The sequence below is a fragment of the Homo sapiens genome, chromosome 5 (genome assembly GCF_000001405.40).
Source record: "Homo sapiens chromosome 5, GRCh38.p14 Primary Assembly".
Classification (NCBI taxonomy): Eukaryota; Metazoa; Chordata; class Mammalia; order Primates; family Hominidae; genus Homo; species Homo sapiens.
Window position 1 is genome coordinate 44491952 of NC_000005.10, and position 25212 is coordinate 44517163.

At 35.9% G+C, this 25212-nt stretch overlaps 1 long non-coding RNA gene across 1 annotated transcript; it reads right to left on the reverse strand.

Annotated features, from left to right (window-relative positions):
- Positions 1 to 3192: 3192 nt before the first annotated feature.
- LINC02224 (long intergenic non-protein coding RNA 2224) lies at positions 3193 to 18331 on the reverse strand. Its single transcript, NR_131946.1, has 3 exons — positions 17993 to 18331; positions 8590 to 8700; positions 3193 to 3842 (listed from the first exon to the last, which is right to left on the reverse strand). It is a non-coding gene; the product is annotated as a long intergenic non-protein coding RNA 2224 (long non-coding RNA).
- Between the last annotated feature and the right edge of the window lie 6881 nt (positions 18332 to 25212).

Consider the following 25212-nt stretch of genomic DNA (forward strand, 5'->3'; position numbering starts at 1 on the left):
TTTGCTAATATATATATAAATATATGAATGTTGCATAGAAAAATATGTTAGAATATTGTAATTTTATCTTTTGGTGACAAATATTCCATATTTATTAAATCAGTGCTATTTCCTCAGTTCCATTAGGCCAGAAACTATGTGTTTGCATATTAGTGGTGAGTGGCTAGCTTCCCAGTCATGTTTAGCTGAAGCTCTTTTAAGACTCTCTACCTAAAGACCCAGAATCATGTAGTTCCTGAGACAAACTGATAGCAGCAGAAGACAGACAAATTCCTAGACAGACAAGTATGGGTCCCTTGTGAAACCTGGCCTTTAAGCCAAAGACAGCCCGAAGACTGAAAACCGAACTGCTGGTTCTGGATAGAGTCCAGTGTGACAACTTCTATTCTTGTTTGCCCACTGTTTCCTGATTGGTTCTTTCTGAATAATGCTCTTTAACCAATGGAATGTTGCCTTTTCCAAAGGCTACCTATAGCCTGCATCTCCTCATTCCTGGACTCAGCTACATAGATGGCTACCTGCTTTCAGGCCCCCTCTCACACAGAGGGCTACCCACTTCAGGTCCCCTGTCATTGTCAGGAGCTTCTCTGTCACTCAATAAAATTCTTCCCTGCCTCGCTCACTCTCTGGTGTCCATGCAACCTCATTCTTCTTGGTCATGGGACAAGAACCCAGAACCCACCAAATGGGAGGTGCAAAAAGAGCTATAACACTGTAACCCTCCCTCTCACTCACCAAGCGACAGGGGAGAAAAAGCTGCTGGGTGCCCCATGCCCCCATTTGCTGAGCTGCAGGCAGCAGGACAGAAAGAGCTGTGACACACCCCTGTTCGCTGAAGCTGTAGGCAGTGGGAATGAACGAGAGCTGTAATACTTCCTGGGTTCTCAGATCTTGGGACTCCCCAAGCAGAAGCTGTAACACCTCTTGGGGTCTGCGGTTGCTGGTGTCTCCAAGTTTTCAGGCGCCACCACATCCCCCTTTGTCTGAATGCCAGCACTCAGCTACAGAAGCCACTTACAGCATGCCTGGTCCCGCTGTAAGCTGAGCATGGGTCCCATGGTGATCGTGGGATTTGGGCTGGGGAGTGAACAGAGCTCAGCCTGCTGGGCCAAGTGGGCAGAGCAAGCCCAGCAGACAAAAGTGAAGCCGAGGCAGAGGTGCCACCAGCCACAGAGGTTTCCAACTGGTGAAATGGCATTGAAAGAATTCTGTGTCAAAACCTAACCTGAGAAGAGAGGAGCAATAATAAAATAATAATAACATATTTTTAGTGGATGTTTACAGCAATGCTGAGTGTTTTCATTTCATTCAGTCATATCCTTGTTGTCCATTTCACAAGAAACTGGGTTGCAGACAACTGATCTAACTTGTCCAATATCACATAGCTAGCAATTGGTGAGGCAGGAAGCTTGCAAAATCATACTCCTCACCATTATGCCATCTTGCCTCCTAACAGGTGAGTTGAAGAGTACTTTTGCTAAAGCCTGGTATGTTTGGGATATTATATGTCACTTGTCTTTAGACATACTGATGCCTAGTGCACATTGCTGGATTCACCCTTTTGCTTTATGAAAGGTATTGCAGTTCCATTCTAGTTCTAAACCTAACCTAATTGAAATCTTGAAAATCTTCCTATTTCTGCCAAGGTTATTTGCCTTGGGAGTCCCACTCACTAGACATTGCACACCTGGGCACTGGTTTGAAAGAAGCTCAAGTTAGCCTTTCTGTTGGCATATTTTAATTTGAGTGGCTGACTACTCCCAGAGGAGTGTGTCCCAGAGTGCGACCTGTCTTCAATGGTTTTCTCCCTTTTCTAAGATAACCACTTAAGTTTTATTACAGTAAGTCCTCACAATGTCATCAGTAGGTTTTTGGGGACATCAACTTTAAGCAAGTTGTTGGAAATCAAGGGTGTCCAATCTTCTGTCTTCCCTGAGTCACACTGGAAGAATAATCGTCTTGGGCCAAACATAAAAACTAACACTAATGATAGCTGATGAGCTAAAAAATAAAATCACACAAAAATTTCATAATGTTTCAAGAAAGTTAGCAAATTTGTGTTGGGCTGCATTCAAAGGAGTCCTGGGCCACATGTGACCCATGAGCTGTGGGTTGGACAACTTGAATGAAACCCGCTTTACCACAGGCTAATTGATATAAACAAGAGTGAAGTTCCAATGTTATATTTCTGGTCACAAAAACATATTAAACTTCTAAATAAAGACCCAAAACACTTTTAATATTAAACATTGAAATAATTGTGATACATCCATACATTTAAGAAATGTTAATGAAAACGATAAATATTTACCCAATTTTTGGTGAATCAGTGAGCGATGGTAGTTGTAGTGATGGTGTGTTAAATCAAGGAAGAAATGTTAGCAAAGCAAAAACTGTCAGGAGCATCTCCTTCAGAAACAACAAATACAGTGGGCTTCCTGAGCACTTTCTTACTGCATTTTTTGTCATGCATTTATATGATTACCATAGATTTTATGAAATTTTATTTTATAATAATTTGTATTCATTCATTTTCCAGCCTGCTTATTCCAGTTTAGGGTCACCAGTGTCAGATCCTCTCCCAGCAGCTCAGGGTGCAAGGTGGGAACTGCCCTGGACAGGAAGCTATCTCACTGCAGGGGGCACCCACACACACCCCAACACTCACTCACATTGGAACCATTTAGACACACCAGTGAACCTCATGTGAACTTCCTTGGGATGTGGAAGGAAACCAAACTACCCAGAGAAAACCCATGTACACATGCAGAGAACATGTAGACTCCACACAGACAGTGGCCATGACCAAGAATTAGTGATTTTCTTCTCATCAAAGTGATCATAAAATGACTTTGAATGAAATGGTGTTATTTGAGGACTTGCCCTATCTCACAGCTAAGTCTATTTGAATTGTGAGAGAAATAGGTCTGGTATGAGCCATCTACTCTCTTATTATTCACTTATCGCCAATAAGAAGCATCTTAACTGAGATGGTTGGAATAGCTGTCCTCAGTTCCATCCAGGATTGAGCCTGTGATATCTTTGTTAGCATTATATTATATTCCAAAGTTTCTAAATTCATTACTCAAAACACTAACAAATCTCAATCAGTTGTTGGTTGCCACATTATTCAAAATACTGATAGTTGTGAATGACTTACTTTTTATTCTATAAATTAGGTCATAGCCAATATTTCAGTACACAAACATTATTTTTATTCATTTGAATCCCAATATGTTTTCTTAAATTGTAGGAAAAACCGGTAGCATATCAGTCAGCAAACCAGAAATTATATCTTACTGCTACATCTCATAACTACATCTTACTAAAACACAAACATTCATAATATGTAGTATACTATCTCTAAAATTACATAGGTTTTGTGTACATTTCTTCTAATTGATCATGTCTGCTTATTTTCCTCTGGATTAAGGATCAAGGAGATAGTATATTAGATGATTTGATAAATTTCCAATGCTTTGCAAAGTAGTTGAACAACTTTTTCTTTGTGATGCTAGGTGGCACTACTAGTCAAGACTTGGTATTTCATAGCTGGCTTTCTTATTCTGAAGGTTGTAAAAAGACATATGAAGTAATATTTAACATTGAAAACATGATAATCAATTTGATTATCTATGAATTGTCCTAAACGTTCAGAGTAAAGTTTCCTTTAAAGTTAAAATCTTTCAAGTGAAGGAAATTATAAAGTCACATGTAAACACCAAAATAAGAGGAATAGAGCAATAGGATATTTTTGGCTTTATAATTCAATTTAAAAATTAAGGTGCATTTATTTTTTTGGCAGCTGGCCATAAAGCTTCAATGTCCAGTAAGCAGTTGCTCTGAAAAAGAAAACAAAAAGGAAATATCAGTCTGTAGATTTCAATGCTCCCAGATACAAGTGTTTTTACACCACCTAAAATACTTCTTCAGAGTATTGTCACATACCCGTTCTCTTAAATCCTATAATCATTATTAAAAAAAAAGCTGTAACTTTCTCTTATTTTATCAAGATTTCACTGCATGAAAGCATTATCCCATTTTCAGGCAATTTATATTGCTACATGTCTATGGAAATGAGTATTTTTTTTGGTAAATGGCAATAGGTAGTAGTTTACACTCAAGGAGAATTAAAAATCTGTGATACAGAAATGTAGGATCCTGAACTTCTTTCAATGCCACATAAAGATTTGCATCTTGAATATATTCGTCCAGTGTTATTGTCTGTTCCTTCTCCATGTTTGGTTAGTATCAAATATGTCTTTTGTTTATTGTATAGTAAGCTTACAAAGAAAAGGCAAATTATCAGCCATTTATGCAGACATCGAAGTCCCATGTTTTAACGTTTGGATCATCCAAACGGAACCTACAGCATTCTGACCATTAGCTGGGTCACTAGCTAGGCACTGAGGGCCTCACCTGGGTAACTCGAGAATCTCCTCAATCTGGCTCTTTGATTTGGCTTTCACAGGCCAGTACTTTTTATTTCTTCTCATCTGTCTGCTATCATGTTAACAAGCTAAGGCATCTCTCAGCAGCTCATTGACTACATATAAAACGAGATTAGAATTTCACCAGCTAAAGAATGGCTTACTTTCGGGGCTTTAGCTTGAGACGAATATTTGTGTGTGCCTTGGTGATCAAATAAGGAAAAAAAAAGACCCAAATACAAATCAAACACACAAGTAAAACCCATAATTGTTGCCACAAGAACTACTTGCTCAAGTTGGCTAAGCCTAATTGAAAACCCAGATAAATTCCAAACCAAAAAACCTAGCATTTTTCATGTTACTGACATATTATGGCTAGACTCATCTAAGTGTTGTTGCAGCACTAATAACCGTTATCTAATTTATATTTTGTTAATATGAACCTTGGTTCAAGAAAAGTCAATTAATGATGTTTGTAGCTGCTGGAAGACTGCCTTTAAAAAAATTAAAAAGAGAATTTATAACAAATAGGTGAAATACGTGATCACTGAGTTACTGAGGTGGATATTGTATTAAATATGGCATGGTTCCTGGAGATTTGGGGAAGTTCTGGAGGCTTTTTTTTCCAATATAAATAAAACTTTCAAAAAAACTGAAAGACAATGTTGTTTATTGTGCAAGAACAGTCAAGACTACTTAAATGGGATATTGTGACGAAGTGCTGCCAATTAATGCTGTATCTAATCTCAAATACATGCAAGACTTTTATCCTTCTTAGTAGGCTGACCAAAAAGACTAAAAGAAGTTGTCTTAATTATGTTTATATTTTCAAGCCACATTTTCCATATACAATTAAGCTATTTAAAATTCTGCAATTGAAGTACTTGTCTTTAATGATAAGGTCTGGGTTTATTTGATTAAAATGTGATTTGGCATAGTTGCATGACTGACATTTTAATTAAGAAAATTACATTTGTTTTTTTTATATTTGTCTGTATTCTAACTAGTTGTTTTATCAGTTACGCATGACACATAAACACATTCTGAAAATTAGTTCACTGGATATTTCTTATCCTGCAAAATTTAAATAGCAGAAAGACATAGACTATGTGTAAATAATATATGTGTGTATTGGCTTGCATGTGATAGGAAGTTAGATAAATAAAGCGACTTTAATGTACTCTATTTATTATTAATTAGTGCAACACAAGAACTTAAATAGCCCAGGCCATTTTAGGAGGAATAAAGATGTTTTTAAAAGACTAGCAGACCTGTAACAAATCCTATTTCTCCGTTATACTAACTGCTTTTATTGCATTTAAATCCTTGCTAGTGCTGAAAGGTAAAAGCAAGCTAGGAAGCTGCATGACTGAGAAAGCCAAACAACTCTTAATTTTTTTTTTTCATTTTCCAGTCCTATGCCTTGAGAATTTGCCATCTGGATTGCATACTGTAGTCAGTGTTTTAGTTCTTGATGTTTTAAAACAATAGCACTGTAGCATTTTAACATGTAGTTTCATGATAAAATAAATGTGTCATGCATTAAATTATGCAGGCATATATTTACAACTCCTCATGTGCCCAAAGAACATAGTGAGGACAGGAGGACAGTCACTTGCTGGTTTGGTATGATACACCACAGTGTAGGGTTGATAATGTATAATGCATATATTATCAACCCGGCATATATTAGTATTTAGGGGAAAATATTTCAGAAAAAATACACCATATTTTGCTTTGATTTGGGCTTTCTCAAGGTTAATTATCATCCAGGGGACTAAGATGCTTTATTTCTCTTCAATACGTTAATCTCAGGGGTACTTGCCTGAGGTTGAACTGTTTTTGATTAACTCTATGTGATAATGAGAACCATGAAAATAGCCTTGTATAGGGAGTTCCTTCTTTCTGATGTTACATATAAAACTGCGGAAGTCTTACAATATTTAACACTGAACTTTTTACTTTTTTCCCTTTCTGCACCCAGACCTCAAACTAATCATGAAAGTGTGAGGAATGATTTTATCTAAAATCATTGCTCTTTTGTAAGGTGTGCCTAATTGAAGAGTTCAACTAGTTTTACTGGGATTAAAAAAAAAAAACACATTCTAATGAGAGTTCAAGGAGATTTTTTTGTGCTCTCCAAGGACAGACATGGAGTCAGGTCAGCAATTGTGGACCTACACTTCCTTTCTTATCATAATCTGCATGTTTTTAGCTAATCGCTAATGACTACTGGTGTTTCCTCCAAGTTCTATATTTATAATAGAGAGACAACTGACTGGATAAAATTGTCAAAGTTGTTTGAGGATGGCTCTAAAAATATACATTTTTTCCTTCACAAACTACATAATAAGATTGTAGATAAAGGGAATTCTTATCTTCTATTTGATTTTACTTCTGTTTTGATGAGCTCATCTTGATGCTGACTTTTATCAAATGAAATGGTTAATGAGCTCATTGTCCACATTAATCTGTGAACATAATCACAAAGAGGCCTGAACATATCTAGAGCCGCCTACAACCTTTCCACCTCTTAATTTATTCTTTGCAAATTTATATCTGAATCCAAATGGGAAAGATAATTTATAAACAAATTTGTAAGATTATTGCACTTTCAAGAAGCTAGCACTTTATATTACATATTCTCTTCAATTCAGTTTTCTTCACCATTGATTGGAGCAATTTTATTAATAAAAAATGTTTATATCCAATGGACTTGGACATAATAACCTATGTGTTGTTTGATGTTTTTCAGGTTGTAAGAATAAATTCACTTTCCACAAATGGTTTGTTGGAAAGGTAGCAAGAGAAGACAAGGAAAATATCTCAAATGTCTTAATGAGGCATCACAGATACCTGTAACATCTTTCATTGCCATTTAGTTAAAAAAAAATTAGGATTTATAGTTCAAGAGCACGTCTGTTGACTCAACAGCAATTCTATTAGCTATTGCAAAAGCATTGAGCCACTTCTCTACCTTTATTCAACCAGTTTACTCAATTGCCAGCTAACTCTATCTTTTTTTCTCTTTCTCTCTCTTAAGTGGGGAAAAAGAGATTCTAACTGGTTTGGCTGGTCACCCAGAGTAGACAGACACATTGGTCCGAGTCTCCCTCATACTCTCCCTGCCATATGGTTGCTTTGACTTATTTCCCATGTCTATTCCAATTAGCTGTAGTCTGGGCAGACCACACATGGTAAATTTAAGAAAAAAAAAAAAGCAATTCAGGCATAACAAACACATCAGACAGGCTATGAGCATGCAAAAATGCCCATGAGTCTGAGATTTCTCACAAGACTGCTATATAACTGGCAGATGATTTGTGTGGCCTGACCATGCATTTGGATCCAGAGAAATAAATGTTTGTTTCATGTTATTATAAATTTTACTATTTTGGTTGCCCAAAGTATAAGAAATAACTATTTGAAAAAATAATATTCAGTTAATGAGAATACATATTATAAGAAATGCAAAACTCATTTCAGATTTAAAGGTACTTGAAATGCATAATCACTTCCCCTCATCAGTTGAGTGCCATAAAGTACTAGTATTCATAAAATTCAATTGCTGAGACCTTCTAATGAAAATTGACATAAGCCTGCATAATTGGATCCTTTAATTTCCTTGAAGAAATACATTTAAAAGAAATTGAATCATAATTGAATAAGCTAATTCTAGCAATTAAGTGGTTATTTAATGGGCTATTTCCTATATAACACAACAAATGAAACATTTTTCAAAAGGAAGGAAAGTCATGAAAATGCTTGCAGACACAAAAGAATAATAAAGTTTTTAACTACAAAGCTAATAAGCTAGATAAACTGATGTCATGCTAAGGAAACCCATCCTAGTTCACTAAAGTCTAACATCTGAAACCATTAAGTGATCCATCCCTTTCCACTACCACAGTACAAAAGTGCTAAGTTATAGGCATCAGATGAACTCCTCACACATTTAGGCTAAACTTTGCTTGAAATGTCACCACACATGTCTAAAGACAGAATATTTTCTTTCAAGAGTGTTTGTGAAAACTCTGATTATATTTATATGCACATACCATAAATGTATACATAATTTTATTTACTTTTTTAAATAAGTGAGTATCTTAAAAGGAAAATCAGATCCAATAGCTTTTTGACAAATAAAAGTTGTACTTACATCTATGATTCATGAGATCATGGGGTTCCAACACCACTGCTGATATTACTGTCAGTAATATTAAAACCGCTTAACTCTTGGAGATCAAATTAACTAGTTTATATTTTGCTTCTGTGTAAAAAAAATTGTAAGAATTAATATTTTGAAATATTTAATACCAATTTAGCACTGATTTCTTTTTTAAAAAACCATTGAAATACACAAACTGATGATTTAGTGAATATTTAATGTTTCCATAATATCAATCCTGGACTAATAAACAGCTGCTTCTATTTTTATGTACACGACATATTTAGGTCTAGTCTCTGATTATTGTGAAAACATTGTGATTTAGAATAACCTGGCTACAAAGTCTTAATTTTTGTTGCATCTTTGAAATTAAATGTTATTTTAAAGCTTTATTGGATTTGTTATTTTAATGAATTAATTACTTTAAATTTTACTTTTTGGGCAATAAGCACATAAAATGGAGAAGCTGCAGAGATAAGACATGGTATACAATTTTAGTACCGAAAATATACTCTTTTAGAAATATTTACCATTTAGAAAAATTTTTGAAAATAATGACAAGAACAAGAAATGTGTTTTTGTAGTTATTGAAATTGTATCATTTCTACAAATATAATCGTCTGAACAGTTTTGACTTACTATACAGTACTGTCCTATATAACTTTTTGCAATGATAAAAATGCTGTATGTCTGCATGTCCCAAAACACTAGCCACTAGTCAAATTTGACTTAAAATATGGCTAGTTCAACTGAGGAACTGAGATTTTAATTTTATTTTAAAAATTAACTTAAATTTGAATAGCATATGGCTAGTGACTACTCTATTGGACAACATAATATAGAATATTGGCTCAATAAAACTGATATTTCCTTAGCATTGACCTTGATTATTACTAGGAAGAGTGAGATGCTACTGTATTTTCTAAATATATTTTTGGAAACCAAAAAATTAAATATGAGGAAACACTTGTGCTTAGGTAATGTAAGAGACACTTCAACCACACTATTGTGGACATTTTTTGTCAGTAGACAAAATTTGTAACTACTGATGTACAAAATGATGTCTGTAATTCTTGTGGAGTTTCCTCTAAGGCTATTACCAGGTGCACTCTAATTTGCTCTTTAAACGCCCAGTCAAGCCTTTAGAAACAGTAAATATGCAAAATATGTTACTGTGAACTGACTATGCAACATGAAATCCAATACCCTGAAAAGATTTTTCAGTAACTCATGCAGTTCTAAACAACAAACTACATTTTAAAGCAAAACCCAGAAATCAACCTGTATCTGTATACAGTCCTGCAAAATTAATGTAGGCAAGTGTTTCTAAATACCACAGTTCTTCATTCCAGTGTGTTAATTCATTAACTTCAGAATAATAATTCAGTGTCAATACTTCACAGCCAAATTCAAATTGCTGTATTAATTCTAACTCCTTCTATACCTGATTACCTCCCTTTTTCCTCTCTTTTCTTTCCAGAACGCTGGTTTTCTGTGCAGGCCCCATTAGCCTTTCTCTTTGAATACATTATTGCTCCCTGGTTTCCAGTAAAGGCTCCTGGTTTCTGTGTTTCTAATCAAGGTCTCCATTAAACAGTCACAGAGGTTATTGTTTGGTTATGTTTGTAGTTAGTAGCTCTTAGCTTTATCTACTTAGTGGTGGTTTACAAATTCCTGCTAATGCTAAATTAGAACAGTAATTTCTGGTGGCTTCTACTCTTATTTTCCCTTTCCCCTTCCCCTATTGCAGATCAGAGATAGGGGCGGAGGGAAGGAAAACCACTGAGAGGAGATGAAAACCTTTAACAAACTCATCCTGTGGGACAGTGGATAAGGAAGATCACAGTTGTTTGGCCTGGGGATCTGGATCTTATTAATGTCACCAGTCTTCCCCGATTCTCAGTGGCAGAAATCTGAATTCTTTCTGCTGTCAATAGGCCTTAACATTAACTGAAGTTCACTAAACTTTCTGTAACTAAATGAATTGAAGGTTGCTGAAATTGTCCTCTTTCTTTTAAAAGTACAGTGAATGGAGTAGTGTTAGTATCACCACCATGTTGCTGTTGATGTCCAAAAACTGACAGATGCCAAAGCATGTCATTTGGGTACCCCTTCTATCAGTCATAACCTGCTTTTCTAAATTTGAGGTTTAAACATGTAGTTTTGTAAAGCAATAGAAGAGATGTGCTATAATATATTTTCTGCATTGTTGTTTGCTCTTGCAGTCTGACTTAGAGCAAACTTCTGCTTTTGCGATTTAGTTGATTCCACAGATATTTCAAAAATAAATAATGAATCAGAGTGAAAGGTAAAGGGTGTTAAATATTATATATGAGGAATGAGCTTTTAATTATTCTCTCATAAAACATTTAGTGTATTAATAAAAATAAATTTTCTTTTTTTCCTTTTTTTCTGGGATATTTTCCTTTTTCAAAAATTATAGCAATGGACAGAGAATAATATATGAATACAAATGAAATAATTCAATTTAATTATTTTCATGTATAAAGGCGAACCTCAAACTTAGTCAAATGCAACTGGTTAATGGGGTATCAATATAGCAGCTAATACTTACAAAGTACTGACTTCATGCCCCCACTTTACATATATTAGCTTATTTAATACTCTTTCCAACTTCATGAGGTAGGTACTAGTATTAGTTCCATTTTTTAAATAAATAAATCAAAATGTCAAGATGCTAAGTAATTTGTTCATGATCACACAGCTGGTAAAAGCTGCAAGCTGATTTAACCCAGGCAATCTAGCTCCAGTATCTGTTGTAGTATTTTTAATTATGACACAACATTCTGTCTCTTTCAATTAAAAAAAGATTTATCTCTTGTTACTTTCAACTCTGCTCTATTACATCCCAATCCCCTTTACTATATATTGATATGTTGAATAATTTTATAACTCTCTGGTGACTTTTGGTTGTTAAAATTAGACTACACCTTCCCAAGTACGACAGAGGTTATGACTAAGAGGGCTCAGAAGAGAGGAGCTATGGCCTGGCTCAGAGATATTTTTTCTCTTTCTTTTTTTTTAAGGCTTGTATTCTCTATTGAGGGAGGTGAAGATGAGGAAGAGGGAGATAGAAATCTCTACTTTAATTTGGTATGCACTTGTGGTGTCCCTATAGGTGGTGTTGATATGGACAGGAGGCAGGGAAATACTGGGTAGAAGAGGGCTGATCTCCTACAAAGGCCCCACCCTCAAGCCTGGAAACCTGCCGCCTTAAGTAAGAACAGGCATTCCTGTTTTCATGACCAAAAGTTGTCTTTTGGCCTGCCACGCCCCTCTATCCTGTACCCATAAAAACCCCAAACCCCTGGCTCCATGAGGAGATGAACAGAAGAACAGAAAAATGGCAGAATGGCACGGCCTAGAGGAGTTCAGCTGGGGAGGTTGGAGAGGAGATTGGCCGCTGGATGGCCAAACTCCAGGAAAAGATTATCTTCTCACTCCCATCCCCCTTCCAGCTCCCCAACCATCCCACTGAGAGCCACTTCCACCACTCAATAAAACACTTGCAGTTATCCTTCAAGTCCGTGTGTGACCTGATTCTTCCTGGACACCAGACAAGGACCTGGGTACCAAGAGGTCACTGAGCTAGTTAACGCTTAAGCCATCTGCAGATGGCAAGGCTAAAACAGCGCACTGTAACACATGCCCACTTGGGCTTCAGGAGTCGCAGGCTCCCACCCCTGGATGCTGCTGTGTGGCCAAAGCCCAGGGGTACTCACCCCAGTTCCTGCACCTTCTGTCTGCATACTCCTTGTCTCATAAGGGGTTTGAGTATGCACTCCAGCTGAACAGATGAGCCACACTCCTGTCACATATCCTGCAAGGGGGTCAGGGAACTCTCCCATTTCAGCATGTGTGATTTTCCAGTGGTGGTGTTCAGAAGTGTGTCTCCCAATGGCCTATAATAGTAAAATGTGCAAAGGGAGAAATAAATTAAAGATGGAATTTATAACCAAAAGAGAACCAGAACTTAAAGAGTTGGAAAATTATCAGCCTGGTCATGTAAGGAATGAAAAGGCAAAGCATGTTGGAGAGAAAAAATCCAGGATGTGGCCAAGCAACCACTTAAGGAGATTGGTATGGATTAAAAATAAAAAAAGGAAGCCAGATGCTATTCATGAAAACAATGGAAGCATGACCCCAAAGATACTTCAGAGATCTTCAGGGCTGACACTCCCATCAAAGGCCCAAAGTGCCAGGGCTTTGAGGGCAGAATGGATTTTGAGTGTGGGGCAGGGGCATCCCAGGGCACCTATAGGACCTCAGGGCTTATTACCCAGGGCTGTCTGAAGTCCCTATTCCCCAAATTCTGGTGCAGCTCTCCTCAGCTGCCCCAGCTGTGGTTCAAGCAGGTGCATGTGTGGCTTAGGCTGCTGCTCCAGAAGGCACAAGTCATAAACCTTGGCAGTGTCCTGTTGGTGCTAATTCTGCAGGTTCGCAGAGTGCAAGAACTGTGGGGGCATCTTTACTTCCACCTAGATTTCACAGGATATTTCAGATAGCCTCGGGGGCTTGGCAGAGACTTGCTGCAGGGGTGGGGCTGCCACAGAGTGTCTCCACTAGGGCAATGCCCAGAAGAACTGAGGGGTGAAGGCCACCAAAGATAGTTCCCACTAGGGCAATATTTACTAGAGTCATGAGGCAGGGCTGCTCCTGAGATTTCAGATCTGTAGAGCCATTTACATGCAATGCTAGTCTGAAAGAGCCACAGACACCTGACTCTAACCCATGAGAACAGCAGCAAGGGCTATGCCCAGCAAAGCCATGGGGGTGGGGTCCCTCAGATCCTTGGAGACTCAATCTCCTCCCAGTATGCCTGGAAGTTGGGACATGGAGTCAAAGAAGATTATTCTCAACCCGTGATATTTAATGATTTTTGCCCTGTTGCGGTTTAGACTTACTTGTAACCTGTTACCTTTTTTTCATCTTGCTTATTTTTTTTTTCCTTTTTGTAATGAGAATGCCTATCCAATGCCCATTCCACCATTGTATTTTGAAAGTACATAACTTGTTTGATTTCACAGGTTCATAGCTGGAAAGCAGTTTGCCTCAGGATGATATCTAGGTGAGACTCTGGACTTTAGACTTTAAATTTCATGCTGGAATGGGTTAAGATCTTTGAGGCTTTGGGATATAATGAATATATTTTTTACATGAGAAGGACACGAATTTTGAAGGGCCAGAAATGGAATAATATAGTTTCAATATGTACCCTCCAAAATTCAGGTGTTGCTTACATGATAGCATTAACAGCTCTTCAGAAATGCAGATGATTTTGTATGTTGATTTTATATTCTGCAACTTTGCTGAATTCATTAGTTCTAACAGTTTTTTTTGTGTGTGTAGCATCTTTAGGATTTTCTACATATAAAATTACATCACCCCTTGATAGAGATAAATTTACCTCTTCCTTTTCAACTTGGATGCCTTTTATTTATTTTTCTTGCCTAATATCTCAAGTTAGAACTTCCAGTACCGTGTTAAATAGAAGTGTTGAAAGCAGGAATTCTTGCCTTATTCCTGATATTAGAGGAAAAGTTTTCAGTCTTTTATCATTACATGATGTTAGTTGTGGATTCTAGCTATTTTTAAGTATTATTACACCATGTCTCAATCTCCTTCTAGTTTGAAATCATGGTACAGTAAGTCTATTTCACTTAAGACATTTTTCTATTGAAAAAGCAATTTACTGGAATGCATCCTCTCCCTTTTTGCAGACGTTTAGCTAGTATGGGACTAGAAAAGCATTAGAGTGTGTTTGCTTCAATTATACCCCTGTCTTATTGTTGATGTTCCACACCTCACCTTCCCAAGGCTAATTAACTACTAGATGCCCTTCGTTCACCACCACTTCCTTCCTTTGGGTCCAAATGGGAGTATCATTTTCCTCCTTTGGATTATTTTATGTTTTATTTGGCCATACTTCAGACACACATACTTGGCTTACGTGGCATTAATTTGTCCCCACTGATATACAGTAAAATAAGTTAGCACCTACATTTTGCATCCTTAGTTGATTAAGTTTTGTGAGTGTGGGGAATTCAGTATTTTGCAAACAGTAGGCTTCAGTAAATGTTGACTGAAGACTGGCTGAAGCCTGTGAAGTAATTTTATTATCACAGCAATTACATCTCAACAGTCATCAACAAATGCTGCTACTTAGGACAGTAGCATTTCACAGCTGCTAATAAGATCTGTGAGACAGCACAGCTGTTGACTATCGCTGGGGATAACAAAAACATTCCAGTAAGAGCAGGAGGCAGGAAAGAGAGCAAGTGCAGCGAAAAGAAAATATAGATCTGCTTCTAATTTTAGAAGTATTTTAAAGAAGATATAATAGGAGAGCACTCAACGTTTTTAAAAGCAGCAACTGCAACAAAATTAAGCTAAAAATAAAAATTGAATTCACTTATTTTAATGTCTGAAATGCCTTCCTTTATTTTAAAAATCTAAATTATGAAAACTTCATAAAATAATTTGTTAGAACTAAAATAAAACAAATTTAAGTAAACTAAAGTTATATATTATCTAAAGCTATAGGACCAGAATATCACAACCTCCAAATATTTTCTAAAAAAAGTCAAATTTTTTTCAAGTCACCATAGAGAAGTAACTCACAACAGTATGTAAGAACAGCAGCCTGGTTTTCCTTTTGGTAATACAGTCACTGATATAATGAATATTTAATTTCTTAAAAAAGAAAAGAAATAGCACCAGCTTTGAGCCAAATCATTCTATTTAGAAGTCAAGGATCAGTAACTGTAAAAAATGGCGGTTACTCTCTAATCTTGTTATTAATTTCAATGAAGCCTTCAAACACATGTTTCTAAGGAAAATAAAAGAGGAATCAGTTTGAGAATAACAGGTTGGGAGTGATGCAGATGACCTGAACATTTTCATTTACATTGCATTATTCCAAAGCAATGATTTTTAAATGTATTTATGGAAATATCTGAGAATGAGTTTAATAATGTATTAAGCTATTGGACATTCTAAGAGCTTTTTATCTTGCTAAAGAGAAGAATTAGTAAGTGTAATTCATTTTTATAGTAACATATGTCATGGATTGTAGCATTTTTAGCATTTGTTAAATGGAGCCATGTTATTACCTTTACCTAGTTTTAGAAAGGATTTTCCCCATAAGTGGCCTCTTGATAGGGGGAGAGTCTATGAAGAAGACAGAGTGCTTTCATTCAATCACATTTCACAGAAAATTCCAAAATGGCCACAATAATTTTCTCTTTTCTTTTCAGAAGGTAATTGAACAAATAAAGTTAAACTTCATGAGTTGTCACAAAGATGGAAGTTGTGCACTGATATCTCAATGACTGTGTTTCCTGGAAAGATGACTTTTGTGGAATAGGATTAAATCTTTCACAGTCTAACATAGGTTACATGCAAGATAGTCTTCACAGCATCCTATGCATAAACAAGTAAATGATGCTTTATTAAAATTTTAGCACTTTTATCAATAAGCATTTCAGTTGTTCAGAGGCAATTCTTCTAGTTTCTGTTCACTTTCTGAGAATCAAAGTGACATATAAATGACCACATGGAGTTATATTTTTCTGTATTGGTTTCTTGGAAAGTTTTTTTTTTCTGCTCTTTACTTTATTAAAGGGAGAAAAATGAGGTAGCATAGAATTGTGTGAGGAGGCCGGGTACGGTGGCTCACGCCTGTAATCCCAACACTTTCAGAGGCCAAGGCGGGTGGATCACGAGGTCAAGAGACTGAGACCACCCTGGCCAACACGGTGAAGCCCCGTCTCTACTAAAAATACAAAAAATTAGCTGGGCATGGTGGCGTGTGCCTGTAGTCCCAGCTACTCGGGAGGCTGAGGCAGGAGAATCACTTGAACCCCAGAGGTGGAGGTTGCAGTGAGCTGAGATCGTGCCACTGCACTCCAGCCTGGCGACAGAGCAAGAGTCTGTCTAAAAAAAAAAAAAAAAGAATTGTGTGAGGAACCATGGGCTTTTGTATGGGCTCTACCACTCTCCTGCAGGGTTTCCTCGGACAAATTACTGTCCTATCTCAGATTTTCCATATAAAAAATGAAGATAATATTACTTACTCAGCTTTTTGAAAGCCAACAAAATTCAATTGCTATGCAACATTGAAAATTAGTACATAAATATATAATTTTTCAAGTAGAATGACATTTGAACAACACTAACTCTGAGTTAGACACTCTACTACACAGAATGTCAACAACATAGATTGGAACTGTTATCCCCATCTTACAGGGGCAAAGTTAAGACACAAAAGGATTAAGAAACTTGCTAAGTGCCTCCTATTACAACATGATGACAGTTCTTAATACGGTACCGTGGGGTCTGAGGCATTCTCTTTGGATGAGATGGCAAATATCACCCGTCATAGTTGAAGACTTGGCTAAAACAGGCCATAACATTTCAAATGTCTGGTTAGTGAGGGTTTTACTGTGTCACTAAAGTGGCAAAACTGATAATACAACTTCTTTTCTCCATGAAGATAAACTACAACAGGCTGTGACAACCTAATGGTCCAGCTCTACTCTTGCCTATTCACTATTTGCTGCATTTCTTTCTTTCTAGCTCCCAAGAATATGTGAACAACTGCATGGCACCTTAACAGTAGACCTGAACTTTTCATTCTGCTTCAAGTGCCTTTCTTTTTGGTTAATTGTGGTTTTCCTCTTGCTATTGGACCTTTTGCAGGACAACTCTGGACTGCTATAGCATGTTTTGAAAGGTCCATGGAAATTTCTGGTCTTTTTAGTCCTGGAAGAAGGAATTTTTTGCATTTTTTGGGGTAGGGAAGAGTTTATTTTAGATTGCCAACTCTATATTGAAGCAAATCTAGATATTTTTGGACAAAAATATAAATATATTGACAAAGATTATCAAGGAAAATAGGGTTACCCAGCATGATTTAGGCTGTAGAATCTATACAGTGACCCTAAGGCATGCCCTGCAGAGGACAGGGAAATGCAACTGCTGCCTTGGTCCTTGCTTAGCAGCCTGTTAAGCCACTCATTACTCCAGTTAGATTTTAAAAGTATACCTAAGTACATTCCCACTAAATGTCCACTCTTTCTTCCTCACTAGGACTTCAGTCCTAAATTCCTAGCTGCTTTCAGTGAGCTGGACTAAATGGTCATACAAAGGCAACAGACTTTGAAGTTTCTCTGTCAAAGCATAGATTAGAACTAACTACTCTTTTTACTGGTTCACATATTTAACCCTTTAGAACATGAAGTGCTTAGAAAATCCTAAGTAGCTTCATGTATCTATTCTAAAAAGGGATTAGAATGCAGGAAAAATAAAAGGAAAGCAAGATGTCTTTTACTATTTTTTTTTTCTGCAAAGCTTTCTCTCATTGATTACTTACTTCTCAGCCTGTCGCAGGTGTTCTCTGGATGGGTCTGCCTTCATGGTGCCTCTCCTCTCCCAGGAGACTGGAGAAAATGAAGCCTTTTCCAGAGTTTTTGAGGTTGCTAATGCCAAATTCTGCAAGGTCATAGCCAATGCATGTGCTGGGTATAAGTACATGTGAAAGCACTGAGTGAGTTGATGAAGACCTTCGTGATTGAGGTCAAGTTTAAAGGAAGCAGCAGCAAATGTTCAGCTCCAGCAGATTTGTGTTAAGGAAATGCAGGCTCAGTTACAGCAAATCTTTAAGATTTTCCCAGAGAAAACCAGGATGCTAGGTTTCTTTTTCAAATATAAAATCTACTTTTAAAAAGTTGCCCTATATGTTATGTAAAACTCTGACATGGGCAAAAGAAAACATTTGTGGCCTTGATTTGCCCAATGGGACACAAATACGTGCCGTCTGCAATAAGACATGACATTTATTATCTGTTTGATGATAGATTAGACAATGTGCTCAGTGCCTTATAGCATTTATCCCAAAAAAGTTCTTTTCAGTGTGTTTGTGTGTGTACTTGTGTGTAGGATGTAACTATGTATATCCTTAAAAACTTTTCCTTTGGCTTAAGTAATGATTCTTTCTCATTTGCATCAATTTGAGCAATTTATATTAGCTTGGCTTAATTGTGAACTGCTCCACACAGACTTCTATAACAGTGATGTCTCCTAGCTCTGGAATTAACTTCCATATATTTTCTATACCATTAATTTGCTATTTAACAAACACTATTTTATGATATCTGTTATAACTGTTACTCTTTTATTGCTCAACTTTTCTTGAATATTATGTCTTGTTTCCCAAGGTAGATTACAAGCTTTTTTAGTGAAAGGATTACATAGACATTTTTCTTAGTCTCTTCTAGAGAAGTGTGTATGTGCAAGGTGGGTTTTTGACTATTTGGGTGAATATGTTTAAAGTCAGTAACTCTACGCCAAGACATCAATGTAGACTTAATTTCTTAATTAAAATGTTATAATAATAGCTATCTATTGCATTCTTGGTAGGCACCATGATAAAGTCTTAAAAACCTTATTAGTTTGGTATTATTGGCTCTGTTTTACGGAGGCAAAAAAAAAAAAAAGCCTGAGGCTTGAAAAGTTTTTTGGCCAAGTCACACATAAGTTGCAAAGTGAGTGTGGACTTTAATATTAAAAACACCAATAATAGGCATTAATAATTGTGTGGAAAGTATAACTGAAAAGATAAAATAATTCCTAACCAGGAGGGTAAGTCATCCAGAACACAACAAATAGTATCATGAAGAGGATTTAAATACAGGTGTTGTAAGTCTCCATCCTCAGATAAATGTGAATACTAATAGACTCATTATTCTGAGTGCCGACAGCAGTGCTTTAGCTATTCTCAACTTTTTAAATATAACATTTCCTCTTCTACAATTACCTATCTTGAAAGGATGAATTAATTCTTTCAAAAACCTGGCGACCAGAGTCATAAAAAAAGAATGTTGGAATTAGAAGAGATTTAAAAAATTACTTGGCCTAACCTATGCATTATCAAATGAGAGATATACACACAGAACGAGATTTGCTCAAGTACATACTACCCAAAAATATTAGAATCAGTACAAGCTTTTCCATATAATAAAATAAAATAATAAAACCATTTTATTCTTAGGAAATTACTACAGTTTATTTTAGATAGCCTGATATGGTTTAGCTCCCAAATCTCATCTGAAATTGTAATCCCCACATGTTGGGGGAAGGATCTAGTGGGAGGTGATTGGATCATTGGGGGCGGATTTCCCCCTTGCTGTTCTTGTGATAGTGAGGGTGTTCTCACAAGATATGATCGTTTAAAAATGCGTGACACTTCCCTGCCTCCTTCTGCTCTGCTACAGTAAGACGTGCTTGCTTCCCCTTTGCCTTCCACCATGACTGTAAGTTTCCTGAGGCTTCCTAGTCACGCTTCCTGTACAGCCTATGGAAACATGAGTCAATTAAACTTCTTTTCTTCATAAATTACCCAGCCTCAGGAAGTTCCTTATAGCAGTGTGAGAACGAGCTAAGCATGCTGGGACCTCATCTCTTGATTGAGAGAGAACAAATGCAAATAGTTGTCAGCAGAGAATTCTTGATCCTGATTGACAATGGTAGTTCTCTACATTGATCTGAGCTAGCTGGATGGAGGAAGATATGGTAGATGATGCTCATAATAATAAAATGATGCAGGAAATATATAGTTCCTAGATTCTAGTAAATATAACTGAACTCTTCAAGAAAAGGAATTGTATTTTGCCGGGTTTGATTTTCCAGCAAACAGCTAAGTGCATAACACTTGTTGCTGAAAGGAATAGTGGAGGTTTTCTTTCTGCTTCTGATCCAATTGTCATTTGATGATTATTTTCTACCTGTCATGCCCTGTGCCTTGACTCTCATCTATATTAATCTCATTTAATTCCCACTAAAAGAGAACAAAACAAAATCACGAGCACAAAATCCCCAAAAAACCTTTTGAGATAAGTATCATTCTCATTTCACAGATAAGGATGCAGATGTAGAGATGGTAATTTTCAGTACCCGCAATTAGTAAAACAGATGCTAAAATACATGATTCAAATTCCAGAACGCTTTATGTTACACTGCTTCCTCTCTCACACTGTCTGTTAAAAGTACTTGTATTTGAAGCTGTTTGAGCAAACATCATGTCATTGATCCTAATATTGTATGTTTGTTACAGTGAATACAATGTTATGACCATCTTAGCAGGAGGTAGCTATTGAAGATGATAACAATGTTAGGAGCTAATTTTTGAACAGACATACTAGACCTAAGCAAAAAAACAAGTATTGCCCCTCTCTGGGAGGTGGTACTATTCAGTCTTGGAAAAGCCACAGAGTCATTAAAATATCAACAAAATGAAACATTGCTTTTCCCTTTACAAAACAGTCATAGACATTGATAAAGCCCAGTGCTATGCCAGGAGAACCGAGCTACATAATAAAAGATCAATGCTGAAGGAAATGTATGGTGCTGAAAGGATAAACAGTATTCCAGTATTGACTCTGACCGAGTTTCCTTTATCTCTATGAAACCAGATATATGACAGATGCTCAACATGCTGGGAGATGAAACCTGTATCTAATTATAAAAACAGCAAAAATTAATAACCAAATTTCCTATGTTCTCTTCCTGTTTCACAGGCTAGGCAGCAAGGACACCTGAAGAGGACAAGATTTTTTTTCAAACTTTTAATCTTAGACTGCAATTATCAGATTAAATGATTATTATGAATTTTCTCTATTTTAAAAAAAGACTCAAATATAGCTTTATTTAAGAGTATCAGAAATGTGTATAGAAAAAATATTCTAAGAGGTTTGTAGAAAGCAATTCAATATTCATTACCAACTAATATTCTGAAGAGTTTGTAGAAAGCCATCCAATATTCATTAAAGCCTGTGGCTGATTTCACTCTTCTTTGACATAGCTGTGTTTTCAGTGATTAACTTTAGTCTTTTCCTTAAATTAATTAGCTATCTTAGTAAATGTTAATGAAAAAATGAAAATAACTTGATTAGACAGCTATAGAGATCTATGTAACATACTATGCGTCCTGACTTTTGAGAGTAGATACAAAAGCAGCACAAATTGGGTTAATTTAAACTCAAACAAAAGGTCAGTTTGCAGAAAGTAAAGACCTGTGTGACCTCTTGTTCAAATCCTGGAAGCTATAAATCCTACTAAATTACTTAGGGCTTTGTTAAGCAGGCCCAACAAAAGATAACCAACATTGTAATTATTGTTCAGTGATGGACTGAATAATAAGCCTGGTTTCTATTTGTCAAAGCAACAGACCTTAAGTCATTTGTAGAGCTATTCTAATGAATAGTGGAAGGCTGTGGGTTACATAAGCAATTAAAGAAAAATCATAAAAACCAAACACCTAGAATTGCTAAAACCTTAAAAGTATCCATCAAGCGTTGTGAAAGTCAAGCTTGCAAGGGTAAATAAAATGCAAAATACAAGAACAAAATCTATTTAGGTTTCACAATCTCCAGTGTCTCATTTTTATCAAAAGTTCAGCCAAATAAAGAAGAAATTTAAAAACCTGTAGGACTCCAAACCACAAGTTAAATGACCTTGGGTTTTTGTTGTGAAGTATCTCAAAAAAGGCAGCAGGATGTTCTGTAAACCAAAAGTTTTAAAATCTTGGTAACATTTTATGGCGTTTTAAAAGTACTTTTAAAAAAAAATAACAATTAACAAATGACTGGAAGAAAATCCTATCCTTAACTATTTTAAGACATATTTTGTGTTTTATTTCTCATGCAACATATAATGCAAAGTGTTTTATAAATGCCCTTAAAATTGACTATTATTTTGAAGTGCTATATTTCTTGAAAGAGTGCTGATTACTTCTAATCATTAATAGAAATAATTTTGAAAATACATTTTTATTGAATTCTAACATTTAATACTGCCCAATTATTGACAATATGTATTTCCTTTGTAAATGAAAATTAGAGAAGCCTTCAGCTAACAATTATTATTTTCTAAATCTATTTGTTATTGATTTAAAAATTACAAATGAGAAGATAAAATGACACCTTTTGAAAAGAATTGGAGTCCCTCTTGAAATGTAAACTGCTTATTTTTTGGTCTGCAGGTCTATGTTTGAATGTCAAAACTCTGTGTTTTTGGCTTTGTATGATAATTTATATGAATAGTTTTGAGTGGGCAGTCTCCAAGGTTATAGAGATCTTGTATAATTATTCTATTGGAAAAATTTTATAAACACAGAGCAAAATGTCAAACCCTCCGGTATATTCCTACAACATGAATTCAAGAGAAAAGAGTGTCATTGTGAAGTAAAAATACTGTCAGCTGACCTGTGGGGTTTGGTTTGGTTTTATGTGAATCTAAAGAAAAAAGAAGCTTTCTATCGTAAATGTGGAAGCCACTGAAACCTCCTGGTTTTGGCATTTTCACCAGGACTCAAATGTCTGGCAAACGCAACATTCTTTTTCTAAGAAAAGGGGTTTACAAAGTTCAGAAAACCTTGGACATCAAATAGCTCTTATGAAACAACATTTTGATGATTTAAGTATAAATGAATGAGAAACATATGATTAAATTTCTCTTAAAATACACATGGGTTTAAAAATTAAGGGCAAAAGTCCTTAGCAAAATGAGTTTTTAGTTTTACAGAATCTATTTGAAAAATAGTGCAAGTTGTTTGACAAATCCAAGGTACGGCTGGATTCTTCACTATTTTGTTGGTAGCACCAATCAGTTCTGACATCAGACACTGTGGGTTTCTGTCTCTTTCAAGAGGTGAGTCAGATGTATTCTTGACATTGTAGTATAATCATCAGCAAGGTGGGTGCACCAATCACTAAGGTCTAATAGTTCAGATTCTATGTTAAATCATCGAATGCTCTGTTTACATCTGCATTTTACAATCGTTCATTCCAGGAAACCAGAAAGAGCTCCCAAATATTTGAAGACAGATCTAATCTCCCCCTACTTTTGCAAAATTCAGAAGTGCTAGTTAGATAAAATGCTAATGTTTTCCAAAGTGTGGAATGCAGACTATCTATGTCAAAAATACTAAAAATGCAGACTCCTAGTCCTTTTCTCAGATTTGCCATACCTAAATCTCTAGAGGCAGAGCTGAGAACTTCCATATTATACAATCTCTGATTCGTATGCCCTCTACAACATTGAGAATCACATTTCTAATATATGAGGTGAGTACTATTAGATTTCACCAGGAGAGGGCCAAGATCATTTTCTGTGGATGACTTGAATGTCACTTTGGTTCAATTTCTAGATTGAAAGATCCCCATGGGCAGGAACTGTCTCCGCTCATGCTTACCAATGCATCTCCAGCCCTGGATCAGTCATACAGTAGGCTCTTGATAGTTGATCAAATTAAAAAAAAAAGAGGTACACATTTTTCTTTAAAACTTTTGCATGCAATAACATATTTTAAAATATTTCAGGTCTAAAACAGACCTGACAGATACTAAATATTCCTCTATTCAACACTTTATTTTCTATCTGATTTTACTATTGGCTCTGAACATGTAAATGAAGGAACATTTAAATAACTTTGTATACCAGAATTACAAAGAAATAACAACATATTATGGACTTTGTCTAAGTAATATCAATCCACCTAAATTGAAGCCTCTTTTCTAAATCTCATGAATAATTCTGTCAGGAGAGTAAATGGTAAATCCAGGACACAGTATCTTTACACAGTTACTTGCTTAATGACTCCCTGTCTGTATCTGGTGTCACAGGAACAAGCAGAAAGTTTATCCCTGGAAGGTGATACTATGAAAGAAAAATAAGTGATGAATCACAATCAGTTAAAAATTTATGCCAAAAGATACAAAGAAATGTAATGACAGGAGAAAAAAATACCTTAACATATGTAATTATTATTAGAAGTATTCTTCTAAGTATAAAAGTTGCACATGTACTCTTTTTCTGTTTATAAAAGAAACTTCATGTTTGCTTAGTTTGGTGACCATCCCCATCATAACACCTCGAGTTGTCAATTTGTTTCTATGTTTACACACACCGGTATACATATCATACAGATGTATTTTTAAATTATATTAAAACTTGAATATATAACTATAACTTTATTTTTTCCAGTTAATCCAATAGTGATATTTTCCTGTTAGCAAATATTTCTTTTTTTAATGATTACAAAATAGCTCATCTAAATTACTTAACTGTCCCCATGTTTTTAGACATCTAGGTCACTTAGCAGTTTTACCATTATAAAAAAGGTTCTCTCTTAATTATTGGCATGTATTTTTAAGTACATCCCTAATTATTAACTTAGGAGGGACTCAATATAGAACTGATAATGAGAGTGAATATATATTGAGCATTTTCTATTGGTCTGACCCTGAGCTAAACCCTTTGTAAGTATTAGCTCATTTATCTCTCACAAAATACCTATGAAGTAGGTATAAGTTACTATCTTACGTTCTCAGGGTCAAGAAGCTAGTAAGGGGTAAAGTCAGAGTTTGAACCCAGGATTGGCCCTTTCCAAGGCCTGTGCTCTTCATCTCAATGAAATTAGTGTGTCAAAGAATGTTTGAACTATTTTAAGGTTTAATACTGAGTGGCTGTGCCAAAAAGCTATGCCAATTTGAACATCTTGTAAGAATCAGTAGTGTTAATTGGTTTGACAGAAAA